Here is a 24,872-nt window from a genome sequence, read left to right on the forward strand (position 1 = left end):
TTCATCCTTCCAGACACAGGTCAGATGGTCCTATCTTGGCAACTCTTTTTCCCAATCACAGTAAGTAACCTTGCTCTCTGTGTTCCTGTCATACTGTTTTTATACTTCTCATAGTGTATGTCGGCACATAGTGTTAGAATGGCTCTCCTTGTCTACCACACTGTACTGTGAACTCCTCAAGGACAGAGACTGTGTTGGTTGGTTTCTGTACACCAGTACCTAGCACTGTGCCTGACACAGAATTGGGCCAGTGATTAGTTGGATGGTTGATTGGATGGGGTTAGATAACTAACCCACCTATCCACCCAAGGATGGATGACTGCTTGAGTGATTGGGTACCTGGATGCTGGACAAGATCAGTTGGGTGAATAGATGAATGGATGATCCTTTTCTAGATGATCAACTGTTGGATAAATAGATGGTTGGTTAGGTGGGTAGACATATAATTGGATGAATAGATAAAGGCATGGTTGGTTGGATGGGTAGATGTATAACTGGATGAAAATGGATGGTTTGGTAGATAGATGTATGATTGGATGAATGCATAAATGGATGGTGGTTGGATGGGTGGATGTATGTCTGGATGAATGGATAAATGGATGATTAGTTGGGTAGATAGATGTATGATTAGATGAATGGATAAATGGATGGTGGTTGGGTAGTTGGACGGATGTTGGATAAAGGGCTTCCAGCCTGGTTAGCACTTCAGTGGTTACTGGCAGCCCCTGCCCAACTTGGGACCACACTATGATTTAATTAGAAGAGGTAGATTGAAGCTCTACCTCTCCTTTGCCTGATCAGTTTCCATACCCACCCAAAGGCAATACAAAAGACATGTTAGGGTTTCACTCTTCTCCAAGCCTGCACTAAAGATAATGTCTCTGCATGATGGCCTTTGTCACCTTTCACTAAAATTACTTATACCCAAGCTTGTCTGGTTTCTGAGCTCTTGGAGGATCCAGGCTATATCGGGCTTATCATTTCCATCCTCCTTATGAAATGCCTAGCACATCAGAGACCATGAATGCATTGATGGACGAGTGGATGGGTAGATGAGTGGGTGGACAGATGAGGTCCAACATCTTCGGTTGCATCCCCCTGTAGTAAGGTGAAAGCAGAGCCCCTGTTTGGATTTGGGGGGTTGGTGACTGTACTGGAAGTCATAATCACTGCTCATCTTTGTTTCTGAAACCTGGCCTGGAATCTCGACCATCACTTCACATACATATCCTTACAAGAGATACTGTACATAAAGTGCTTAGTGCACTCAATAAATATTAGTATATATGGTGTAATAGACTCTCAATAAATGTTAACTATGAGCTATTGTTTCCTATAAGGAACTTCTGTGTAAATGTTCTAGGGCTTAAAAAAAATCTGGTAGCAAATATCAGAAAGAGTTAACAGGGGCTCAAAGCAGACACCTAACTTGGAGGGGTGTCTGGGAAGCCTTTCTGGAAGAGGAGACATTTAAGCTGACACACAAAGAGATGAGTAAGATCAACCACAAAGACAGAATGAGTTCATCTGAGCTGAGGGAAAGGAGACTGTGGAACCACGGAGTCAGAAGGTTCTGGTGCATTTCGGTTTCTGCACGGAATTTGGTCCAGCTGGGAAGGAAACAAGGAGAAGGGGAAGTGGGAGGGACCCAGGGACACCCAGGAGTGAGGAGATTGTCCTAGGCCAGGTTTTAAACCAGGAGGGACATACTGAGAAAGAGATTGTTTGTCTTCATGGAATCTCTTTAAAGCCTAGGAACAACTGAGGTCCTCAATTCCTTAAACCCAGCTCCCAACAATCACTTTTTAGGTTTCTTCTCGGAGGTGGCCTTAGGGGGATATGTCTGAGTGTGAGGTGTCCTTGGAGCTGAGAAGATTGTGGGCACAGATAGGCGGGATCTCAGGTTGTGTCTTAACATGTGTTCCCCTCATAAGAACACAGATTCTAGCCCAAGGCTCTTCATATAGCTGACACTTTGGGATCAGGTGTGAAATTACTTTAAAAACTAAGTGTTCTTGTAAAATTCCCAGTCCCTCCTGGTTGGGGAAACCCAGACGAATTGAGAATGCTAGACTTGCTTCCCCATAGATAACCAACCATAGGATCCTTCCCTAGCCAAGACCCACCCTCCCCTCTGAGAAAATCCAACCTCTTAACTATGTGTGATGTGGGTGGGTAACCAAAAGTATCTGTGCCTCCGTTTTCTCATCTTTAAATGGGAGACTCAGATATGATTCATATTTACTGAAGTGTGGGACACATACCCACTGACGGGACATGAAATTGTAAGCATTCAGTAGAGCCAGTGTTAGAAGGGATTGACTTGGGTTCTGAGGAACAGTTCTGCCTTATCTCTTCCACCCTTCTTCATTCCAACAAGCAGAAAGTCTCTGTAGGGGACTGCATTAACACCCCTCCAGCACTTGCTAACCTTTTATAACAAACACAGGCAGCAATGATTTGTTTTTGGTTATACTTTTGTTTTAATGGCTACCATCTGTTTATGGTACATGATTCTCTAGTGACAAGAAAGTGTCCTTTTTAAATACACTTATTTAGGTTTAAAAAAAGGGAAGGAGTCATTAGGTAAAAGTCAGGAATAGGAAAAATGTGTCTGTGATGCCAGGGTCCAAATCATCGTTACTTTTAGGGGGTACTGACAAGGAGAGAGTACTCTAGGGAGTTTTCACAGGCACTAGGAACGTGAACGTTCTACATCTTGAACTGGGTAGTGCTTACTCAGGTGTAAACCATTCACTAAGCTTTCACTTGAGCCTAGGAGTTCGAGACCAACCTGGGCAACATGGCGAGACCCCCATCTCTACAAAAAATAAAAACTAGCCTGGCGTGGTAGCACATGCCTGTAGTCCCAGCTACCCAGGAGGCTGTGGGAGGGTCACCTGAGCCTGGGAAGTGAAGGCTGCGGTGAGCTGTGATCATGCCATTGCAGTCCAGCCTGGGTGACAGAGCAAGACCCTATCTAAAAAAAAATTTTGTAATTCACTAAGCTTAACATTGAACTATGGAACTTAAAGTGATCCATATCTCAAAAAGAGAACCATAGGAGTCCCTTTGAAGAGAAATATTAATTAATCATATTTTAGATGCTATATCAATATGACAAAATTCACACAGAGGGACATGAGTGGTCAAAGTTTGGACAGCAGTGACCTGAGCGACCTTGAGGATTCCTTCTAGCTCATATGTTCTGAGTGCCTTGGAGGACTAAGTCCCAAGACTGTTCAGCACACCAATGGCAAACCCTCTCAGAGACAGGGGCTCTCACTAGGCAGTGGGCACTTCCAGGGGGTACTGCAGATCCCATCAGAAGAGCCCCTTCCTCCAAGCCCCCGGCTTCTCCTGCAGCACCCGGTCCCGGGTGCAGCTCAGCCCCGGCCTCCTTTCTCTCTGCACATTGGCCCGAGCCTCAGCTGCATCTATCATCTGCTTCAGGCTCATTAAAATTATTTCTTTTTAGTTGCAAATGGGCTGTTTATGATGATCATTATTTGAATGGTCTGCGCCGGGCTCCGGGCTGTCTGTCTGCTGCTGATGGCCAGTTAATCAGATGAGTCTCCTCCCTGCCTGGGCCTGGCCCAAAGTCTGGGGCTGTGTTAATCATGGCTCCCCCAGGGCTGGGGGGCTGGTGGGGCCAGCAGGGGCTGGGTAGGAGAAGATCCTGATTTCTTTTTGATTACCAGAGCTGTGTGTGTGGTAGTTTGGACATGCTTTCTAAAACTCAGTTTTAGACCAGTGCTGGTTTATGTTTGTGACAGAATTTTTTTCCATTCCTTCAAAATAGATATAGTGCCATGAGCTTTTTAATTTTAGCTGTGTGTATTATGAAAGACCCGTGCCGATGCTGTCATTGGCCCTCTTGCTTTGCTGATATTCAAATATCCTTTCTTTTAGGGTGGGAGGGAGTGGTTTTTAATGTCTTTGCTTGATACAGTAACATTTGGCAATACTCTACCGGTCTTCCTTTCATTTTAAAACAGAATTTTTACTGAGCTGTGAAATCCAAAATTCTTGGAATCATTGATCTGGTGGGGTGTTTTCTTAGCTGTCAGTTTATCTAAACATAAGATTAATATCAGCCAAGGCCAGGCACAGTGGCTCACACCTGTAATCCCAACACTTTGGGAGGCCACAGCAGGTGGATTGCTTGAGTCTAGGAGTTTGAGACCAGCCTGGCAACATGGTGAAACCCTGTCTCTACCCCAAAAAAATGCAAAAATTAGCTAGGCATGATGGCACATGCCTATAGTCACAGCTACTAGGGAGGCTGAGGTGGAAGGATCGCCTGAGCCTGGGAGGTCGAGGCTGCAGTGAGCTGTGACTGCACTACTGCACTCCAGCCTAGGTGACAAGAGTGAGACCCTGTCTCAAAAAAAAAAAAAGACAACATTTATTGAACACTTGAAGCTTTACACATCCATATCATTTAAAACAAATGCCCTGAACACCCCCCAGCTGATGGAGACGCAGAGCAGAAGCCCGCTGAAGAGAAGGGCATTAAAAAATATGCCTTTATAATCCACCAAGGAGATAATCCACACCTCAGTTATTAGAATTGACTGTAGTATATTTCCAAGCCCCTGTTTGAATCACCATACAGACAAGACACATTAATGTGTTTGTTCCATGAGATGATGTATGTTAGGAGCTTAGCATAGTGCCTGGTACATGTAAGCTTTCCATAAATGGTAGTTATGAGTATTTACTATTATTATTATTGGTGTTAGTGTGTTTACCAGTGAACTGTGGCAAGAATTCAGGGTTGAAGGACAAGCATAGATTTAGGCAAAATTGAGAAGAACGTGGATGTCAGTGACTTCGTCTGCTCGAGGAAAGACACCAAGGGCTGGGCTTGCAGTGGGGTCAGGGTGAGGGGACTGGTGATATCCCCCTGCCTTCCCTGGCTCTGTTCTCTCTGCAGTGTGGACACAGCAGACATCCTGCCTGTCAGATTTGCACCCACCAGCAGCCTGGGAGGTGCAGGTGGAGGGAGTCAGGCATAATTGTCTGTGAGGACACATCAGGTGGTTGGACTTATCCTGCTCTGCAATTTCCTTTCAGAACCTGGGCTGGATGTTTTTAATGAGAGGCAAAGTTCACCCCCACCAGGTATATTGGTTGCTGCATTGTGGGAAGGCACCAGTGTCCCTGCAATAAGAACATAGTGTCAGACACGGCCGGGTGTGGTGGCTCACGCCTGTAATCCCAGAATTTTGGGAGGCCGAGGTGGGTGGATCATGAGGTCAGGAGATCGAGACTATCCTGGCTAACACGGTGAAACCCTGTCTCTACTAAAAATACAAAAACTTAGCCAGGCTTGGTGGTGGGTGCTTGTAGTCACAGCTACTCGGGAGGCTGGGAGGCAGGAGAATGCCGTGAACCTGGGAGGCGGAGCTTGCAGTGAGCTGAGATGGCGCCACTGCACCCCAGCCTGGGCGACAGAGTGAGACTCCGTCTCAAAAAAAAAAAAAAAAGTGTCAGACACACAATAATCCAAGATAGAGAGCTGTAAACCCATGTCCCAGTTCTGTTTGTCCTGTAGCAATGTGAAAATCACATCTTTGTCTTCAAGAGAGATGAGAAAAACTAAGAAGAGCTGGGAGTACGCTGCTGCAACTCAAATTGACCCTGGCCCTCCAGTTTTTTTCTCTCCTGCCAAGTGAGATTCTGTCCACCTGGCCGCGCCAGTCTACCTTTGTCTATTGCTGCAAACACTGATCTCTCCTGTCACTGGATATTTCGGTTGTGGTCAGTTGTAGTTTCTGTATTAGAAACTGTGATTAGTTTTAAGTGATGATGAACCAGAATTCCCCCTTTTTGCTCATAACACCTTGTTCCTCACCTGGCTTAATCCTGATAAAAACCGGGCTTTTAAACTGGAAGCCCCCATGTACTTTCAAGTGGGAGTACCCTGTGCTTCGGCAAGAATTGGTTTCAGCACCTTGGAGAGCACCTGTTTCCGCTCCCCCACCAAAATAGAGACAGGGTCTCTCTCTGTCACCCAGGCTGGAATGCAGTGGCACCATCACAGCTCACTGCAGCCTTGACCTCCTGAGCTCAAGCAGTCCTCCCACCTCAGCCTCCCAAGTAGCTTGGACTATAGGTAATTGTTCTATTTTTTGTAGAGAGGAGGCCTCACTATGTTGCCCAGGCTGGTCTCAAACTCTTGGCCTCCCAAAGTGCTGAGATTACAGGCATGAGCCACTGCACCTGGCCCTTGCCTCTATTTCAAAGCTACTTTGGTGCCTCTACCTTCTCCCTTCTAGTCTCATAATTTTCTAAAGAAGTTAGACATTTCTCCAGAAATAGAAGTTCCTTCTTGGATTTCTACAAAGAAATCCATAGGTCAGGGACACTCATCCCAGCTTGGGGTGCCAGGTTTATGGTGCTCTGGTGAGCTGCTATTGAGCAGATTTACTGACTCTCAGACATGATATAAGACAATTACCATGCATTTCGTCTCTTAGAGGGAAAAGAATTTGCAGTGGGTTAATAGTACTTTTATTTCATTATCTAATGGCAAAAGTGTTTCATTGTGTGTGCAAGAGGAATGTGTATTAGTGATGACAAATGGGGTCTTTCAACACGGTGCCGGGCCTCATCATACATATGTTAGATTAAAGAGTTCACCCTAGAAATACACTCCCGCATCTGCGTGTGTGTTTTTAATAAATCTGATTGCAGAAATTTATTGCATCACCGGATTTAGGAAATTATGGGGCTTGATTGCTGCAAATATAATCGGATGATATATACAGAAATGCTCCTCGAGTTATGGTCCAGAAAAAAAGCCCATCTCGGGATGGTGCAAGGAAGCAGCCGACCACATAAACAGAGCATTTCTTGAATTATGCAAATGAAATCCATGACAACTCATGGTGAATTGTACTCCCCTTGTGAAACTGCCACCATTAAAGTGAAGAAAGCTTCAAGAGGGGTGATCAAATATACATGCACGACCAGCAGACATTGTCTGTGATGTGTGTGAGCCGAAGCATCCCCCCTTCCATCTCTCTCTCTTTTTCCCTCGCTGGTACATCCTATAAAAACCTGGTCTGATACCTTCCTTGCATATAAGCCAGCAAAGCACCTTCCAATCCATTTCTTCTGAATCCAGGAGTCTTCAATGAAATATTTCTTAGACTTGAAGTGAACCTTAAATGATTTACTGCGAGATACACAAAAGGTCAGCTTACTTCTTATTGGCACCTTCATTTTTCCAAAATCTACTGAAATTAAAAAGCCATCTATATCTTAAAAGGCGTATTTATGAACCTTTAAGTGTAAGTAAGTCATAGTTGGAGCCGTTCCCACCTCTGATATATGAAAGCTGTCGACAGCACTTTCTTCCACTATAATATGCCCATACAATATGCCGCACTTTACTATTTTGACATGGTCTGGAGATGTTTTCTACAGTTACTGACAAGCTTATGCCATCACTCCTTTGGAAATTTAAGAGGTGGGGCAGGGGGTGGGGGGAAGAGATGGAAAAAAAAAACAACCAACTCCACCCAACTTTATAGAAGATTATTGATCTGGCCTGACTTCCGACGAGCAAAAAAAGCTGTCCTGGATTTTTTTTCAGTTGCATCCCAGTTTTGTAAATTATTTATTTGTGCCAGGAGTCAATATCCTGTCTTTTCTCAGCTTTGTAAGTTAAGAAAACTTGTTCAGAATGCTGTTTTGTACAGTGGTTAAAAAGGAAAAAAAGAAGAAAAATCTTTTTCTTTTCTCTCTCTCTCTTTTTTTTTTTTTTTTATTGTTCCAGAAGGAGCTTAATTCCGTCGCTTCTGAGCTGTCTGCACGGCAGGAGGAGAGTGAACATTCTCATAAACATTTAATTGAACTCCGCCGGGAATTTAAGAAAAATGTACCTGAGGTATGGTATATTTGCCGTTATAGAATTAACTCAGTAGGAATGCAGATTTCTCTCCATTCAAACTATATTTTGAAAACTGTAGATGCAAGTGACTAACAAGAAAAGAAGCTAATTAGCCACAAAGAAAAATGACAGCCCCTAACCTTTCGGGGTTTCTTGGCCTAGTGGTGCTCAGCGGTGCCTACTGAAGGGAGGGCGGGGCGTTTCTCCATCAACGTCATTGTTTTTTGAGGGCGCTGTGAAACATCCATTTTCCCCCAACATTCATATCCAAGTCAGATGCCTGGCCTTGCTGGCAAAGACAATGTGCCTTAGAGTTCTTGATTTTATTTTGCTTTCCCGTTGGCGTCTGGAAGAAGACAGCCGTCGACTCTCTAACACCCTCTCGGGGCCTGCCGGCACTCATCGTCTCTGAAACTCGGCCTCTCACCCCCTTTACGTTCACCTCATTCTTCCCCTTCACCGCCTCCCTTGCAGTCCCAGCAACCAGCTATGCCTTTTCTAGCAGTCATTACAGGGAGCTTGGTGGGGGACAGAGAATGACCAGCCCCCAGCAATGTAAGGGCCCCCCAAGGAACAGACTAGAACAGACAAGTTTCTGTTATTTACCGGCCCGGATGTGTGAATTCTTTTCCATCCTCTCGCAGGCCCCCCTATTGCTTCTCAAATTACAAAACAAATGATGAGAATAAACATAAATAGAGAAAATAAAGCCCTCTGACTCTATATAAAAAGGATGTGGCACATCAGGGCTGTGACAGGGAACAGACATCAGAGATCTCTGCGGCCAGATCTCCCCAAAGCCAACTGTGTTTCATTCTGGTCGGCAGAAGGTTAACATCTGTCCTTACCTGCTCAGGTGTGCTGGAGGAAGGTGGGGCAGAGTTTAGCATTCAGATGGGAGACCCTGATTCCAGCAGTTACACTCTGCCAGTCTGATACCGAGATTGGTGGGGGGTCCTGTTGCCATCTCGCTGGTCAGGGAGGGGAACATGGGAAGACAGGGAATAGGCAGACCCAGCCAGGGATCAGGTCATATGAGCACAGAGGGGAGAAGCCTCAGGTCCACCTCAGGCTCTTAGCTGCAAAATCCATCTCACACAAGTCATAAATGTCTTTGGTTCTTCAAGGCAAGAGAAGGGACTAGGATCTAGCTAGAATTTGTCCATGGAGCAAGTCTGGAAGGAAGAGAGTGTCTACATGGAGAAGGGGCATGAATCTCAGGTCTAAAAGCCTCTCCCATGTTGTGGCTTCAGAAAAGCCAAGCCAGGCCTTTGGTTTGACTCCAAGAGCCAAGAAGGCATCAGTGATGCCGAGAACCCTTCCTTCGCCTTTTAGAACAGAGCTCAGCTTGGTCTGGAAACTCCCCAGAATGAGGTTACCTTTGACTCTCCTTTGACTCCAGGAATCAGAGCTGAATCGGCCCCACATCTTCACAGCTGCACATGCCCTCTCCCTGGTCAGCTTAGACCCTCTATCTCATCTTCCTTCTAGCCCAACTGACTTTCTTCTGAGGCCATGTGGGAGCCCCCAGGTGATGAGGGAAATCCAGGCCATGTTTTAAGCCTCTGAGTTCAGCTTACATAATTTTAATACTGCATAATTATGCAATTATGTAATTAAGAGGAATAAGTTTCCATTCCTATTATAGTCGTGCCTCTGAAAATTCTCCTTTTTGGAGCCAGTCTCTCCTGATGGAGAAAGTCACGCCGAGGCTTTATTTAAGAGCTCCTCTGGCTGGTGCCCAGCTCACCTCCTGCTCGCGCCTGTGCTCGGCGTCCCCCAGCCGTGAAGCAGATGAGGCGGCATGCTTCTAGAAATGGGCAGCATTAGCACGAAGTCCCGCCAAACCCATCCCTCCCAGAATGCTCAGATACTTGAGTGTGGGGTTTTGAAAAGGGCCTGTTTGGGGAGTCCAGTGACCTGGGCTCAAATTCTAGCTGCGCCATTCACTTGCTGTGTGACCTTGAGCAGGCTAGCCCCTCTTGGGACCTCAGTTTCCCCTTCTGTAAACTCAAGGAACTGAGAGATGGTTTCTGAGAGGTCCCATCCAGAACTAATGTTTCCTGAACATGGACCAGAGGTCTCCCGCCATCACATTTTTATTTAGTCTGTAAAGTCTTTCGAACTTTACGGTGGGTTGCCAATATTTAGCATCTCAGATGATTTCACCTAAAAACTGGATTTCCGGTGCCTTTTGAGAATATTTGGTAGATTGTGCAACCCAGAGGTTCCGTGCTCATGCTGCCGTCATAAGCTAGAGCAGAGCACGCCACCCCATCGGTGGGGGTTGCATTGTCCCAGCCTCCCTCGTAGCTGCTTCCTGCCTAGCCTGGTAGGCATTTGAGTTCACCACCTGTGACCCAGATTCTCAGAAGTTTCCTTATCCATGGCTCAGCCTCGCACCCATGGCCCCTTATGGTCAAGTCTACTAGGACTGTGTCTCCCCTGAAGGTCCCCAACATACATCAGTCTATCAATCAGTGGCTCAGGAAAGCCCTGGGGACCTAGAATCAGGGGCAGGAGCAACACAGTGTTATTTGCATAATGAAGGGGTTTATTCTTTACCTGCCCATAAGTCTTCAACCCATCTCTTCCTTTTCTGCTCTGTCTGGGGCAACCCCTCCCCACCCTATCTAGTCCCTCAGTGCCTCCCATGGGGATTACTGGTAATTGTGGCTGATTGTGATGGGGGAGTCACACCAGCAGATCTCACAGGAAACTGGAGGATTAGGGTTGGAGTCTCGGGACACATGGTTCTTAAGGTTTCCCTCTTACGTGCCGGGGAGAAGAATACATAGGAGTTTGCCAGGCTAGCCCAAGTTGCTGGGAACCTCAGGTCACTTATGAAAGCCAGGAAATTAGAGTCTGGAAATAGGAGGCTCAGGGTGGCTGTGACAAACCTCCTCTGAAGACAGCCCACGTCCATAGAGTTCCTCAGACATTTGCAGAGCTCGAATGGGGTATAAACCCAGCCTAGACTGCAGAAACTGCACGTTCTGGTGAGGAAGGAGAGTCAGTTACACAAGTGGCATTGCTAAAATGCAAAAGGCAGTCTTTGCTGGAGAGGTGGCTACAGGGTAGGGTCACGGAGACCTTGCAACCTGAAAGAGGCAGCCCCGGGCGACACCTTGAAGGGCAGAAGGTTTTTAAGGAAGGGCTTTCATGTAGTGCTGAGCATGGAGAATTGGGGTTACCTCTCCAGCCCCCACCCCACTCCAAAGTGTGACCTGGGATGGACCACCTATCTCACAAGATATTTCGCATAAAAGACCATTCTATGATCACATTCATTTGAGAAACGCCACTTCCTTTGTCTTCTGGAAATTCCCAACATGCATTATATGAAAGACTCCAGAAAGTCCTGCAGGAAAGAAACCCCTTGGACTTGACGTTTCCCAGTCTGGTGTGGCTTGGTACCCCTGTTTGCGTGTGTCCCTTGTGAAATCCAATGGAGTTCAGGCCCCACGGGACATGCTTGGGAAATGCTGAGCCAGGGACAGCAGCGAGCTACAAGCAGGGGCCACGGGGGCGTCCCACCTGGCACTGTAGTGAACTCTTTGCTGATCTCTTTTTCAGGAAATCAGAGAGATGGTGGCTCCTGTATTAAAAAGCTTCCAAGCCGAGGTAAGACCCAGGGCCCACAGCATGTCAGAAAAGTGCCCCCAATGGCTCCCCCTCCTATCCCACCTAGAGTTGCCCAGGGGGGCCAGCAGCCTCCAGAAGCTTTGGAGAAGCTTCCCTGTCCCCATTGCAAACTCTGTGCCCTTCCCTCTGGTCTCCCATCCGAATGGTATAGTAATGAGAATTGGTTCTCTGTTCATTTTGACAGAATTCAAGTCTGATCCCAAGAAATCTCCCTCTCCCTCGACTTTGCCCAGCCTTACAATGGCTCTGCTACATGTGAGATCTGTGACCTTGGGGCGTACACAGTGGCTCACACCTGTAATCCCAGTGCTTTGGGAGGCTGAAGTGGGAGGATCACTTGAGGCCAGAAGTTCAAGACCAGCCTAGGCAGCATAGCAAGACCCCCATCTCTACAAAAAAATTTAAAAATTAGCTAGTCATGGTGGCACGTGCCTGTGGTCCCAGCTACTCCGGAGGCTAAGGTGGGAGGGCTGCTTAAACCCGGCAAGTTGAGGCTGCAGTGATTCATGATCGCACCACTGCACACCAACCTGGGTGACAGAGCGAGACCCTGTCTCTAAAACAATAAAAAAATAAAATTTAAGAAAGATCTATGACCTTGAACAAACCTACCTCACCTTCCAGCCTTGGTTTCCTATTTTTAAAATCAGAGGTTGGTACTAGATGACCTTTGCCCTCTCTTGGCATTCTGCTGTCCTTTGATTCTCTGAGGCAGCCTTGCAGATAAGTCCACACAGTTACCAGCCCAACCAGAAATTCTTTGCACCAGCCCACTCTTTGAGTATAAAAGTGACATTGTCCACATTCTTTCCTGCCGACCCGCTGAGCCCTAGTTCCTTTGCTGTCCTCAGTAAATAATTTCTCTTGCTTTTTGGAAGCCCTGTGATCAGGGTGAACCCCCGCCCCACCCCGCCCATTTCTCCTCTTTGCTTGACTTCGTAACCAAGAGTCTGATAATGTCCACTTGTCTGGCTGGCACAGGAGGCAGGCCAAGAAAAGACTGGAATCATGTGGGTCCAGGGATTTCTAAAGCGTTCCATCTTGAGGGGGCTCTTCTCAGGCTTCCCTGGACTCAGGCAGGACCCCAGAAGGATTGGCCGTACTCGGATCTCACCAGAGGGGATGCATTTTAAGTCTGTCATCCACCAAGCGCCACATTACTTTAAATCTGTCTCTTTGGAACCACATAAGCACATAAGGCAATATTAAAGTAAACAATAACTGGATTTACACAAATGTCGCTGATTTCCATATTTTTCATCCTTTCATTTTATTACCTAGTTGACTGATGTGCTTATTTATTTATAGGGCCATCCAGTATTGGTTCATTTGGTTGCAAGGTGCCTGGGCTTGGAAGAAAAAAACTAGACAGACCAATAATGTTAGGAACTTTGTGTTCCTATATAATGTCATGACTTTGTGTTACAAAAAAAAAAAAAAATAGAGGTTCCCATCTACCAACTCCTAGTCCCAGGAGAGCTGCTCAGCACACAAGCTCCCTATAGCAGCTGATCCCTCTGCCCAATCCAAAGACAGGCATTCAGCTGTTTGTAGAGAGCATCACTTTCTCAGCTGTTTCCTTGCTTGAGTTGGTGTGAACAGAGCATCCCTTGGCCTCTTAGAGCCTCAGTTTTCCCTATCTGTTAAATGGGAGTATAAAGACACTGACAAGTCTTTTCATGTTGTTTTGAGGATTAACTGAGATCTAATGCAGGGAAAGGGTTTAATGTAATGTCTGACACACGAAGAGCTGTTAGCGGGTGAAGAGTACAGATGCTGGAGCCAGCCTGGGTTGGAATCCCACCTCTCCCACTTACTAGCTGTGTGATCTGAGGTGAGCTACTTAACCTCTCTGTGCCTCCATTTCCTCATCTGTAAAATGGAATAATAATTATACATATTTGAGGCCCGGCAGTGGCTCACCCCTGTAATCCCAGCACTTTGGGAGGCCGAGGAGGGTGGATCACTTCAGGTCAGGAGTTCGAGACCAGCCTGGCCAACATAGTGAAACCCCAACTCTATTAAAAATACAAAAATTAGCCAGGTGTGGTAGTGGGCACCTGTAATTCCAATTACTCAGGAGTCTGAGGCAGGAGAATCACTTGAACCCAGGAGGCGGAGGTTGCAGTGAGCCAAGATCACGCCACTGCATTCCAGCCTGGACGACAGAGCAAGACTCTGTCTCAAAAAAAAAAAAAAATTATGCATATTTCACAGGGTGAGATTGAGGAAGAACAAAGTTAACACTGATGAAGTGCTTAAAATACTGCCTTGCATATGAGAAGTCTTGGATATTTTATTCCTATGAGCAGTGACCTCCAGTACAGGTTTACTGGGTCTCTAGTATGGCTGAGCTGCCATCTGCCACTTTCCTAACTAGGTGTTGAAGGCTTTTTATCTCAAAGATGGGTTTCAGGGTTTTTTTTCCTGTAGGAAGTGGGTATGACTTATGTTATCTTTTCAATAGGAGAAATCCTAGGTTTGGGTGATGTTCGGGAGAAGACCTGACTGAAGCATGGTAGAAAATACATGCAAATCTGACTCAGGCCTGGTCAAAACCTCAACTCTGCTCCTAAACCAGCTGTGTGGCCTTGGGGAAATTCCTTAACCTCTCTGAACTTCAGCTTTCCTCCTCTGGCAAATAAGGCTAACAATAAGGATTCAGAAGCCAGGTGCAGTCACTCATGCCTGTAATCTCAGCACTTTGGGAGGCTAAGGTAGGAGGATCACTTGGGGCCAGGAGTTTGAGACCAGCCTGGGCAATATAATGAGACCTCATCTCTGCAAAAAAAAAAAAAAAAAAAAAAAAAAAAAAAAAAAAATTTAAATGAGCTGGGCATGGTGGCTTGTGCCTGTAGTCCCAGCTACTCAGGAGGCTGAGGTGGGAGGATCACTTGAGCCCAGGAGTTCAAGGCTGTAGTGAGCTATGATTATACCATTTCTTTCTAGTATGGGCAACAGAGCGAGACCTGGTCTCTTAAAAAAAAAAAAAAAAAAAAAAAAGGAAAAAGGATTCAAACACTTCAGCAGCATGGAGGCAGTCCCAGGGTCTGGCACACCGTTGGTGCTCAGTAAATACTAGGACAGAGAAAGTCTTAGGCCAAAAGGAAAGACAAAGCAGAATTCTCATTTTCAAAACCCATGTGGCATATTGAATAGATGCTGCTTTAATAGCTGGAGACCTTAAAGAACTTTGTTAATTTTCTTAAGAGGGCTTTCCATCGTCCCTTTAATGTACCAAGAAGACTACATTTGTCTGGAATTTTATTCCCGAAACCCCTGCTTTTCTCGTGATCTATTGACTAAGCCATTGTGGCCTCTGTGTCCTCCTTGTGCCTCAGGGGAGAGACGCTGCCAAAGGAAGGTGTTAATAAAAAGCATCTTCTTCGTCCAGAAAAAGCTGCACATGCACAGGCCATTTATAATCCAAATTTGATTTTCATTTTAATTTTTTTAATGAGGCCTCATCCTTTATGCCGCTGTCCTCTTGCAATCCACCAGGCTCTGGGCTGGCACTGCGATTCCCAAGTGGGTATTAATCACCTCCTGGAAATATTCCCTGGAGCAAATACCATCCCAAGTCACATAAACTAGCCCATAAAACGCCAGGGCAGAATATCATGCCCGTCATTCCTTCTTCCCAGTGCAGGCCTTTCCTTGAAATATACCATGTTCAGTTTCATGGTAAGTACCATGAAATATACCATGTTCAATAAAATATACCATGTTATTCCTGAATTTTGCTTCACCAGCCCTGGTGTGTTCAGAATCTGGGCATACTTCTTATCTTTTTATATTATATATGTGTGGGTCTCTTTTCTTTCTTTCTGTGTGTGTGTGTGTTTGTGTGTGTGCGTGCCGGTGGGAGGGGGTGGAGAGGAAGTGAATTTGCCCTGCTGTGAATCAAGGAAGCTTCTCTGTCTGCCTTGATTGCTTAAAGGACAGTTTAGATTTCTCCTGTTCAGGGAAACAAAGACAGCCAGAGAAGGTGGCTTAATGGAGACAGCTTGAAATGGCCAAAGTTTGAATATCCTTGCGTACAGAGAAAAGAGCAAGACGAAAGCCTCGCTAATTATAAAAGTTGCTTTATGAAAGATAATTCAAAGCAATAATTTAGCAAACATAATCAAGTCGCACAGATGGGGTTGTTGATGGATGGATTGCAACATGCAATTAGCAGTTCTCGCAGTTACATATCATTAACCCTCCGAGCACAAAAATTATTTTCTCATTATTAGTTGAAAAGGTAAAATTAAGCTGACTAGACAGTAAAGGAACAAACTACAATTAATTACCTTCATTTATTACAGTCATTATTTTAAACTTATTTTTACTTGGAGGGAGACATGAAAACATCTAAATTAAAAGTTTTGTTATGCTAACTCGGAGGTGAAACTTTTCTGAAGCGCGTGTGCACTGTCCCAGCTTGAAAGACCACAGGGCCACTGTTGGGAGATTTTCTTTTTCTCTGCCGCCTTTTTCTTCCACCATAAAGGGGATGTGGCCTGTATGGTGGAAAACCTTTTGGGTTGGATTGGAACAGAGACATTCACCTGGGCCTGATTGAAACACAGTAGTTTGGAGACCAAGTGGGCTGACCTGGCCTCTGACACCCAGGAGAGGTTAGACACCTGTGGTCTGAGCCCCACCCTCACACTGACAAGCTTATGTGACCTTGGCGAGTGACTTTATGTCTCTGAGCCACTGTTTCCTCATCTGTAAATAGGGTCAGCTCATAGGATTGCATGAGATTCAGTGACATTCTGTGTGTCAAGTGGCCAGTGAGTCACTTGTTGTCACCATGGTGGGCGTGCATGGTTGTGTGGGACTGAGAACGTTCTCCCTCTAATCACTCAGGGTCTGGGGGAATTCGTGTGGCATGATCACCTTCTAGGAGCTTAGAGAAGGGGGTAAAGATGCATTAGATCATCACTTGAGCCCATGTAATCATTTAGTCACCTCAACAAGCATTTATTGAATAGCTGCTGCATACTAGGCAGGGTTCCAGATGCTGGCCCAGTGATGGTCACAACCCAGTGGTCACCTCGCCTCCTTTTGGTATGAGGGAGAGCAAGCATTTTTGCAGTACCCGGAAGAAGGACTTCCCAAAGGAGACAAGGCCACCCTTCTATTGGCAGCGTGCAGGTCCGCTCAACAGATCCTTGTGGAGAACCTTCTATGTCCCAGGCTCTGTGTGAGGACTGTTGCAGATCCAAAGATGGTGAGACACCATCCCTGCCCTCAAGGATGTCCCTAGGATTCCGCATGGAATCCTTTAAAGAAAGAAAAAGAAAAAATGTCTGTAGGAGCCAAGTCCCTGTGATTCTGAAATAATGTCCAGAAGCCCAAGGGAGGCCGTCGGTTCCATCCCAGAGGTTCTATTTGTTTGCTGCGCTTCACATTGACACCCTGCCCCGATGACAGCCACGGCAGTATCTCCATCCCATGCACATCTGCCGTGTGTCCCTGCATTCCCCTGCCAAGAGATGGAGTCTGTGTCTCCATCCTTTGAATCTGGGCCTGTGCCTACTTTGACCAGTAGAACATGGTGGAGGTGACACTGTGCCATGATCCAGCATAGCCTTTAGCCTACCTGCTGGCTCTCCCCACCACATCTCTCCAAACCCATCCTTTATGTGAGAAGTGTGACTACCTGGAGACCACCCTGCATGGAGAGGTTCTGGGGGATAAGACAGCACATGGCGGAGAGGCCAGGAGTGCTGAGGTACCAGACTGGAGTCAGGGGCCATGGTGGACATCCAACCCAGTCAAGCCGTCAGATGACTGCAGCCCCAACTGCCATCTGACTGTGAACACCTGGTTCATTCGCACCTCAGGGTGTCAGTGCTTGCCATGCCCTCTGCCTGAAATTCTCTTCCCTGCACCATCTCTTTGCTGGATGAACTCCTTTCAAATGTCAGGTCCTGGGGGAGTAGGGAACCCTCCCTGACCACCCTGACCCTCCATCAACCCTGGAGCCCCTGGCATTCACTGGTGCTTAGCATCATCTGTCTTTATGCATCTGCCTAAAGCTAATGGCTTGAGACTACTGTAAGGACTTTGACTGCAACTCTGAATAAGGTGGGAGTCATGGGAGGCTTTAGAGCAGAGGAGGGACCAGCTCTGACTCAGATTTTAACAGGATCCCTCTGGCCACTAATCTGATAACATGGGGGCCCTGGTCTCTCAGAGATGACCGAGAGGACAGACCATTCCCCCGTCCTCCCTGCCCCAGGCCCAGATGCTTTCTGAGACACTGAGATTTTTCTGATTCTCCCACCAAGACAATCGTCGGTGGGGAAGGGTAGTCCTAACCTTGGAGAAGACCTTTCTAGTGGGTCACTTCCTGTGCTTGCAGCCAGGCTTCCTGAGAGGGGAGTGGAGGGTTTCCTCACAGTTGAGATCACCCAAGATGTGCACATCCCTCCCTGCTCTGGCCCCGAGCCCCCACCCAGCCCCATGTGCTGCGTCCTTCTTTGGTTCCTGTGCCCCCCTTCTGCTCCGTGTCTGCCTGCAAACTCTTGCTCTTCCGTTTGAGCTGAAATTTAATTACAGGGCTTTTTTTTTTTTTTTTTTTTTGCCTTTTAACGTTATTTGCTCTTCCAGCTGTCTTTGATGGCATAATTCTCTCACTCCCTAAACTACCCTTTTCCCTGGCACTCCTGGCACTGGTATGACTATCCCTTTGTAAACAGGGCCCCCTTAGAACCACAACAGATGTTAGATGCGTGCAGTTCTGACAGCAGGGGAGGGCAGGGAGCAGGGGAGGCCAGGGAGCAGTGGCCTTGCTGGCCGGTGAGGCCACCCTGGGGGATGAGCAGTAGGGGCAACTGTGGGTTTTAGGGCCAAATTGGCTCAGGCTTACATTTTAGATCGTCTGTTTCCTGGCTGTGTGACCTTGGGCAAGGCACATAACCTCTCTGGGTTTCACTTTCCTCTGCTTTTACTTTTCTTTTTTTTAATTTTTGAGACAGAGTTGCTCTGTTTCCCAGGCTGGAGTGCATTGGTGCATTCGCAGCTCACTGCAACCTCCGCCTCCCAGGCTCAAGTGATCCTCCCACCTCAGCCTCCCGAGTAGCTGGGACTATAGGCGCACAACACCACACCCAGCTAATTTTTGTAGTTTTTGTAGAGATGGGGTTTCACCATGTGGCCTGGGCTGGTCCTCTGTTTTTAAATGGTGGTAATAGTACCCACTTCATAGGAGTGATGGGAGTCCTCAATGAGTTGATACTTGAAAAGCCCCAAGAACAAAGCCCACCACATGGTGAGTGTTCAGTGAGCATGAGTTGGCATTCCCAGCAGGTGAGCTGAAACTGAGCACATCATGTTTATCCCTCCCATGAGCCCCATGATGAAGTTTCTGCTCCTACCCATTGCTCAGGTGAGGTGACTGAGGCTCAGCCCGCAGCCCCTGATGGTGAGTGGGAACTCGGGCAGGGACATCAGCTGGCAAGGTTTATCCATCACTTAGCGGGATGCCTGTTGTGTCACCTCCTCTCAGCAACGCAGCCAGGAAGGCACAGCTGGTATTGTCCCCTTTTATAGGTGTAAAACTGGGGCTCAGAGAGGTCAAGTGACTTGCCTGAGCTCACACAGCGGTTCATCAGCTGAACAGAGAGCAGAAGATGCAAACCTCAGCTTGGAGGGCCAAACGGGCCCCTTGAGGGGTCTGGGGGTGCAGAAGGAGCTGAGGATGGTGATTCTAGATTTAGGGACCCAGCTGGAGATCTGCAGGTGGTTAGGGCCAGAAAGGAGCTCATCACTCAGCCAGGCCCATGCCTTTTAGATGTTTCTTTGCTGAACTGTTCTTTCAGGCAGAATCTGCCAGGAAAGCCCGCCGCATACAAAGAGCTGTGATTCGAGCCCAAGTCTGTGTATCCAGCCCAGAACTTGGTACATAATAAGTGCTCAATAAACAAGAGTGTTGCTTGCAGCTCACGTCAGATATAATGAGAAGAAGGCCTCCCATCCTCTCTACTGCCCCCGACATGCACATGTGCACACACATGACCCACCCTTTTTCCGCTGCCGGAGTGCAGCAGCGCAATCTCAGCTCACTGCAACCTCCGCCTCCCGGGTTCAAGCAATTCTGGTGCCTCAGTCTCCCAAGCAGCTGGGACTACAGGCGTGCGCCACCACACCCAGCTAATTTTTGTATTTTTTGTAGAGACTTGGTTTCACCATGTTGGCCAGGCTGGTCTCGAGCTCCTAGCCTCAAGTGATCCTCCTGCCTCGGCCTCCCAAAGTGCTGGGATTACAGGCGTGAGCCATCACACCTGGCCTTCCCATCCTCCCTCCTCTTTGATAACAGAATTCCTTTGATGGTGCATGCTCCTTGGCTGCCCATAACCAAGTCTTGCCCCTCTGGAAGTCTGCCCTGCCCAGCTTGGGGTAAAACTTAACGATGAACTGAATGAACATCCTTCCGAATTTAATATTAAGAACCCACCAAAGCATTATTGAACCTGTCACGCCATATTACAACCAAATTAAGAACCAGCAGCAATCCTCTTTCATTCAGTATTATATGCCTTATAAAGTAAATTATTAATGCTTTTTTCCCCCCAGTTAAGTAGTTATTTGCAGTTGTTCCGGGTATTTCTCATTAGAAATAACATCATCTAAAGAACGATATTGACTGATTTTTTTAATCTTGGAGTCATGGACGTGAACCACATATTTATATGACATTCCCTTTAACTAGAATTCTCGCGCTTTATTTTTATATTATTGATCTTTTTGACACGAATTGCTTTTTGGCCTTGTGCGAATGTTGTAAGCTTTCCGCCTGCAGAGGAATGGGCTGGCGTCTGGGCCGGGCTGGGAAGAGTGATCGCTCCAGCCGCGTGGCAGTAACATTCCCGCACATTTAACAACAATTAGTCTGTGCCGACGCCATGGTAGGCTTTCGTGTATGAAAATTTACAAGGCTTTTAATGGACTGCATTATGGAAGGCCGTGCGGGGCCAGTCGGTGGGGAGATAAGGCCGCTGGGCGTGCATCCATCTCATGGCTCAGTCGGCCCAGTGTCTCTCAGTGCTCACGTCTGCCTCCTGGGAGGTGGGAGACACAAGATGGAAGCTACCGCAACAGCCCCACCGACACCAGCATAGGTCTTGTAGCCACTCTTGCAGTCCTGCATTTATCTGGTCAGTAGATGTTTGTTGAGCACCTACTAGGTGCCAGGTGTGGCGCTAGATGCAGGGGCTGAGGTGGTGAACATTACTATTTACTCATGCGTTCAGGAAGGATTTGAGTACCGACTGGGTGTCAGGAGCGGCACTGAATTCCGGGGGTGAAAGGGTGAGTGCAAATTCCTCATTCATCTGGAGCCTGTGGCAGTGGAGAAGTGACTTAAGCCTAGAGTCGCCTGGAGCTGGGTTCAAATCGCAGCTCGTTGCCCATTGCCAGGTTCTTCAGTGAACCTCAGTTTCCTTGTCTGTAAAATGGGGACCTACCTCCTAGGGAGGCTGGCAGGATTCGGTGCAGATCAAGAACTTGATGCAGAGTAAAGAGGATCGTGGTGATTCAGTGTTGCTACCAGCTGAGCTCTGGACACTCTCTCTGTTCTCTCCAAAACCTAAGGTTCCAGGCGTACATCCCGCCTTCCCATTGGGCTGCAGTCCTCATAGCTTCTGGGGTTGGGGCAGCCTTGTGTCCCCCTCCTGCGCACTCTGGCTTTCTCCTATATTTTCTTGTTGGAAAACCAGCCAGGGCAGCCAGCTGGGGGCAGGGAGTGATGGAGGCTCCCCTAGAGGGCACACCCCCACCCCAGGGGCCAGCCCTCTTCTCCCCAAGTGCCCTCACCCCTCCAACCAGCTCCCCTAGAGCACACCCCTGCCTCCCTCCAGAGACCTTTATTTCGCAGCATGTATTTGGCACCTGTTGTATACAAGGGTGAGTGCCAGCCTTCAGGGATGTGGCAACAGGTGGCCCCAGATACCTTTCCTGTCCTCACAGCACACATGGCCTCATGGGAGAGACAGATGGACCCACACACCCCTACACAGCGCCAGCGGCAATCACGTTACGGTTGAGTTTCACAAGGTCAGGATATGGGGATGGGAGAGAGTCACCAGCCCACCCATTCCTTCATTGAGAAATGCTTTCTGGAGCCCCACTATATGCAGACCCTGTGCAGTGCCCTGGGGATAGGCAGGGAACAAGACACATGCTCCTGTCTCTAAGCTAAAAGTACAGTGAGGGACATGCATACTTACATCATGCACAGGAGTTACCTCAAAGATAGTATAGCACAGTGGTTAGGAGTGTGGTTCTGGAACCAGACTGCCTGGGTTCAACTCCCCATTTTGCTACTTATTATAGTCATCCCTCAGTATATGCAGGGGATTGGTTCCAGGACCTGCCCCATACCCAAAACCATGCAAGTCCCCCTGCATATAGGAAAATCCGGCTCTGCATATATGCAGGTTTCACATCCAGTGAAAACTATGGTGTGTGTGTGTGTGTATAATTTCCTGAGACAGAGTCCCGCTCTGTCTCCCAGGTTGGAGTGCATTGTTGCAATCTCGGCTCACTGCAACCTCCACCTCCCAGGTTAAAGCGATTCTCCTGCCTCAGCCTCCTGAGTAGCTGGGATTACAGGCCCGTGCCACCATGCCTGGTTAATTTTTTTATTTTTAGTAGAGACAGGGCTTCACTATGTTGACCAGGCTGGTCTCGAACTCCTGACCTCAGGTGATCCACTTGCCTCGGCCTCCCCAAGTGCTAGGATTACAGGTGTGAGCCACTGTGCCAGGCCTTAAAAACTATGTTTTTTATTGCATTTGGTTGAAAAAAAAATTCTGTGTGTCAGCAGACCCGCACAGTTCAAACTTACGCTGTTCAAGGGTCAACTGTAATCTGTGACTGGGGCACTTTTCTTTTTTTCTGTGCCTTGATGTCTTCATCTATAAAATGGGACTCATCGTCATCTGTAAAATGGTCCTTGCAAGCCACTGCAGGCTGACCCCAGTAAACCACCATAGACAATCTTTGTACCAAGTGAGAACAGAGGTACAAATGGCACTTCATCTTATAGGTGAAGGTGAAGATCAGATGAGGTAATAGATATAAAGGCGTAGAACAGTGCCTGGTGCAGAGAAAGCTTAGATCAGTGTCAGAGGCTGCGATTACCATGATTATTACAATTAAGATGATTATGACTCTAAAATAATCCCCCGGTGTATTAACTAATTGTGGAGGTGCCGAATGCTGCCTCCACAAAGGCAAAGTACAGTTGCACCCAGAAAGGCCCCCACTCTTGGCCTAGCTCAGAGGCAGAGGGGCTGGACTGCGTGACCCCCTAGGGTCATTGCCAGAATGGGGCTCCTGAAGCAACACCCCCAAATTTAGATACAGGAGAAGGAATCTTTCTAGATGTGGGTGTCCTCTCTGAGGTGGGCCCTGCAGGAGGCCTTCAGACATCCAATATCAGTCAAACCTCCCAGATGCCCTGAGCAGCAGGAATCAGGCCCAGAGAGGGTGAGAAACCCATCTTAGGTCACACAGCCAGGAGAAAGATGGGCCCAGGTCAGGTCACTTTCCCTCTAGCCTGTCTCCTGTTCCATAAAATGGGTTCTTGTAACATCCACCTTGTTTATCCTGGGGGGATGGGTGAAGAACCAATGTGATCACCCAGTTGAAAGAAATTTGCCTGGCTGGGTATGGTGGCTCACACCTGTAAGCCCAGCACTTTGGGAGGCTGAGGTGGAAGGATTGTTTGAGCTCAGGAGGTCAAGACCAGGCTTGGTCTCTACAAAAAAAAAAGTTTTTTTGGCCAAGCACAGTGGCTCACGCTTATAATCCTAACACTTTCAGAGGCCAAGGCAGGCCAATTGCTTGGGCTCAGGAGTTCAAGACCAGCCTGGGTAATATAGTGAAACCCCATCTCTACAAAAAAGTTAGCGAAGCGTGGTGGTGCACGCCTGTAGTCCCAGGTACTAGGGGGCCTGAAGTGGGAGGACTGCATGAGCCCAGGAGGTCGAGGCTGCAGTGAACTGAGATCGTGCCACTGCACTCCAGCCTGGATGACAAAGTGAGACCCTGTCTCAAAAAAAAAAAAAAAAAAATTTCCAGCTACTCCAAAGGCTGAGATGGGAGGATTGCTTGAGACCAGCAGGTCGAGGCTGCAACAGTGAGCCATTATCATGCCACTGTACTTCAGCCTGGGTGACAGAGCAAGACCCTATCTCAAAAAGAGAGACAGAGAAGGAGGGAGGGAAGGAAGCAGGAGAGGGGGGGAGGGGAGGAACGGGGAGGGGAGGAATGGGGAGAGGGAAGAGGTGAAAGGAAAAAGAGATTTGCCAACCAAAGTGGGACTCACAGGTGAGTTCCAGAGCTGAGTGTGAGGCTGCCTGTGTGCTGCCTACAGCGGTGTCTTTCTCTAGAATCTTTCACTATTCAGTGTGGTCACCAGGCCAGCAGCATCCACATCACCTGGAAGTACCTTAGAAGTGCAGTCTCCATCCCCCACCTCCATGTCCCAGACCTCTAAAACCAAGATCTGCAGTTTAACAAGGTCCCCTGGTGATTATGGGCACATGAAAGTTTGAGACACTCGACCTCAGAGCCCACTGGCTTCCGACCCTGGCTGCCCAGTGGAATCCCCTGCAAGCTTTAAAAAATACTAAGACCTGGGTCCCAGCTCACAGTGGCTGGTGTTCTTGGTCTAGCATGAGGCTTGAGTGTCAGGATTGTAAAAGATTCTGGTGATTCACATGTTTGAGAGCCCCTGCCCTGAAACTCACCATCTAGCGGAAGAGACAGACCTGTGGAAATAACCAGGGCTGTGCTGGTAAATGCTGAACAACTAGCTGGCTGGGAGGAGCCCTGATCTGTAGCATCTGCTCATTTCTGTGGTGTAAATATTCCCACCGTGGCCAATTTCAAGCTGCAAACATGATGTCGTTGACAGGGGGCTGGGAAGAGATGTGCAGAACATTATAGAGTGTTTCCAGCACACACACAGTAGATGGAAAAAACCTCAGAGCACAGACAGCAGTGGAATGTAGTCAAATAATTAGGAAGTCATGAGCATTGAGTATGTATTGCCTTTTTTTCAAATTTTGTATTCTGGTAAAATACACGTAACATAAAATTTACCGTCTTAACCATTTTTAAGTGTACAGTTCAATGAGTTAAGTACACTCGCCCTGTTGTGCAACCAACACCACCATCCATCTCCAGAACTCTTTTTATCTTGCAAAACTGAAACTTCCACCCATTGAATACTAATTCCCCCCATTCCTCTCCCCCAGCCCCTGGCACCCACCATTCTACCTTCTGTCCCTATGCATTTGACTACTCCAGGGACCTCCTA

At 47.5% G+C, this 24,872-nt stretch overlaps 1 protein-coding gene across 7 annotated transcripts in view, besides 2 other annotated features; it reads left to right on the plus strand.

Moving 5' to 3' along the window:
• Nucleotides 1–24,872, plus strand: part of CUX2 (cut like homeobox 2) — a 316,390-nt gene that overhangs the window by 172,246 nt on the left and 119,272 nt on the right. For all 7 annotated transcript variants that reach the window (XM_017019081.2, NM_015267.4, XM_011538069.3 and 4 more), the window contains 2 exons: nt 7,790–7,900; nt 11,480–11,527. In XM_017019081.2, coding sequence (XP_016874570.1) covers nt 11,492–11,527 — 36 coding nt within the window. In that variant the 5' untranslated portion in view covers nt 7,790–7,900; nt 11,480–11,491. The remainder of the gene's footprint in view (nt 1–7,789; nt 7,901–11,479; nt 11,528–24,872) is intronic.
• Nucleotides 11,303–11,804: an enhancer, noted in NCBI's record as "H3K27ac hESC enhancer chr12:111655517-111656018 (GRCh37/hg19 assembly coordinates)". NCBI's record gives its function as "activates a minimal SCP1, AML or CMV promoter by ChIP-STARR-seq in primed H9 embryonic stem cells {active_cell/tissue: H9 hESC(primed)}" and the evidence as "EXISTENCE:reporter gene assay evidence [ECO:0000049][PMID:30033119]".
• Nucleotides 11,805–12,304: an enhancer, noted in NCBI's record as "H3K27ac hESC enhancer chr12:111656019-111656518 (GRCh37/hg19 assembly coordinates)". NCBI's record gives its function as "activates a minimal SCP1, AML or CMV promoter by ChIP-STARR-seq in primed H9 embryonic stem cells {active_cell/tissue: H9 hESC(primed)}" and the evidence as "EXISTENCE:reporter gene assay evidence [ECO:0000049][PMID:30033119]".

This window comes from Homo sapiens, chromosome 12 (genome assembly GCF_000001405.40).
Source record: "Homo sapiens chromosome 12, GRCh38.p14 Primary Assembly".
In the NCBI taxonomy this organism is placed as follows: domain Eukaryota; kingdom Metazoa; phylum Chordata; class Mammalia; order Primates; family Hominidae; genus Homo; species Homo sapiens.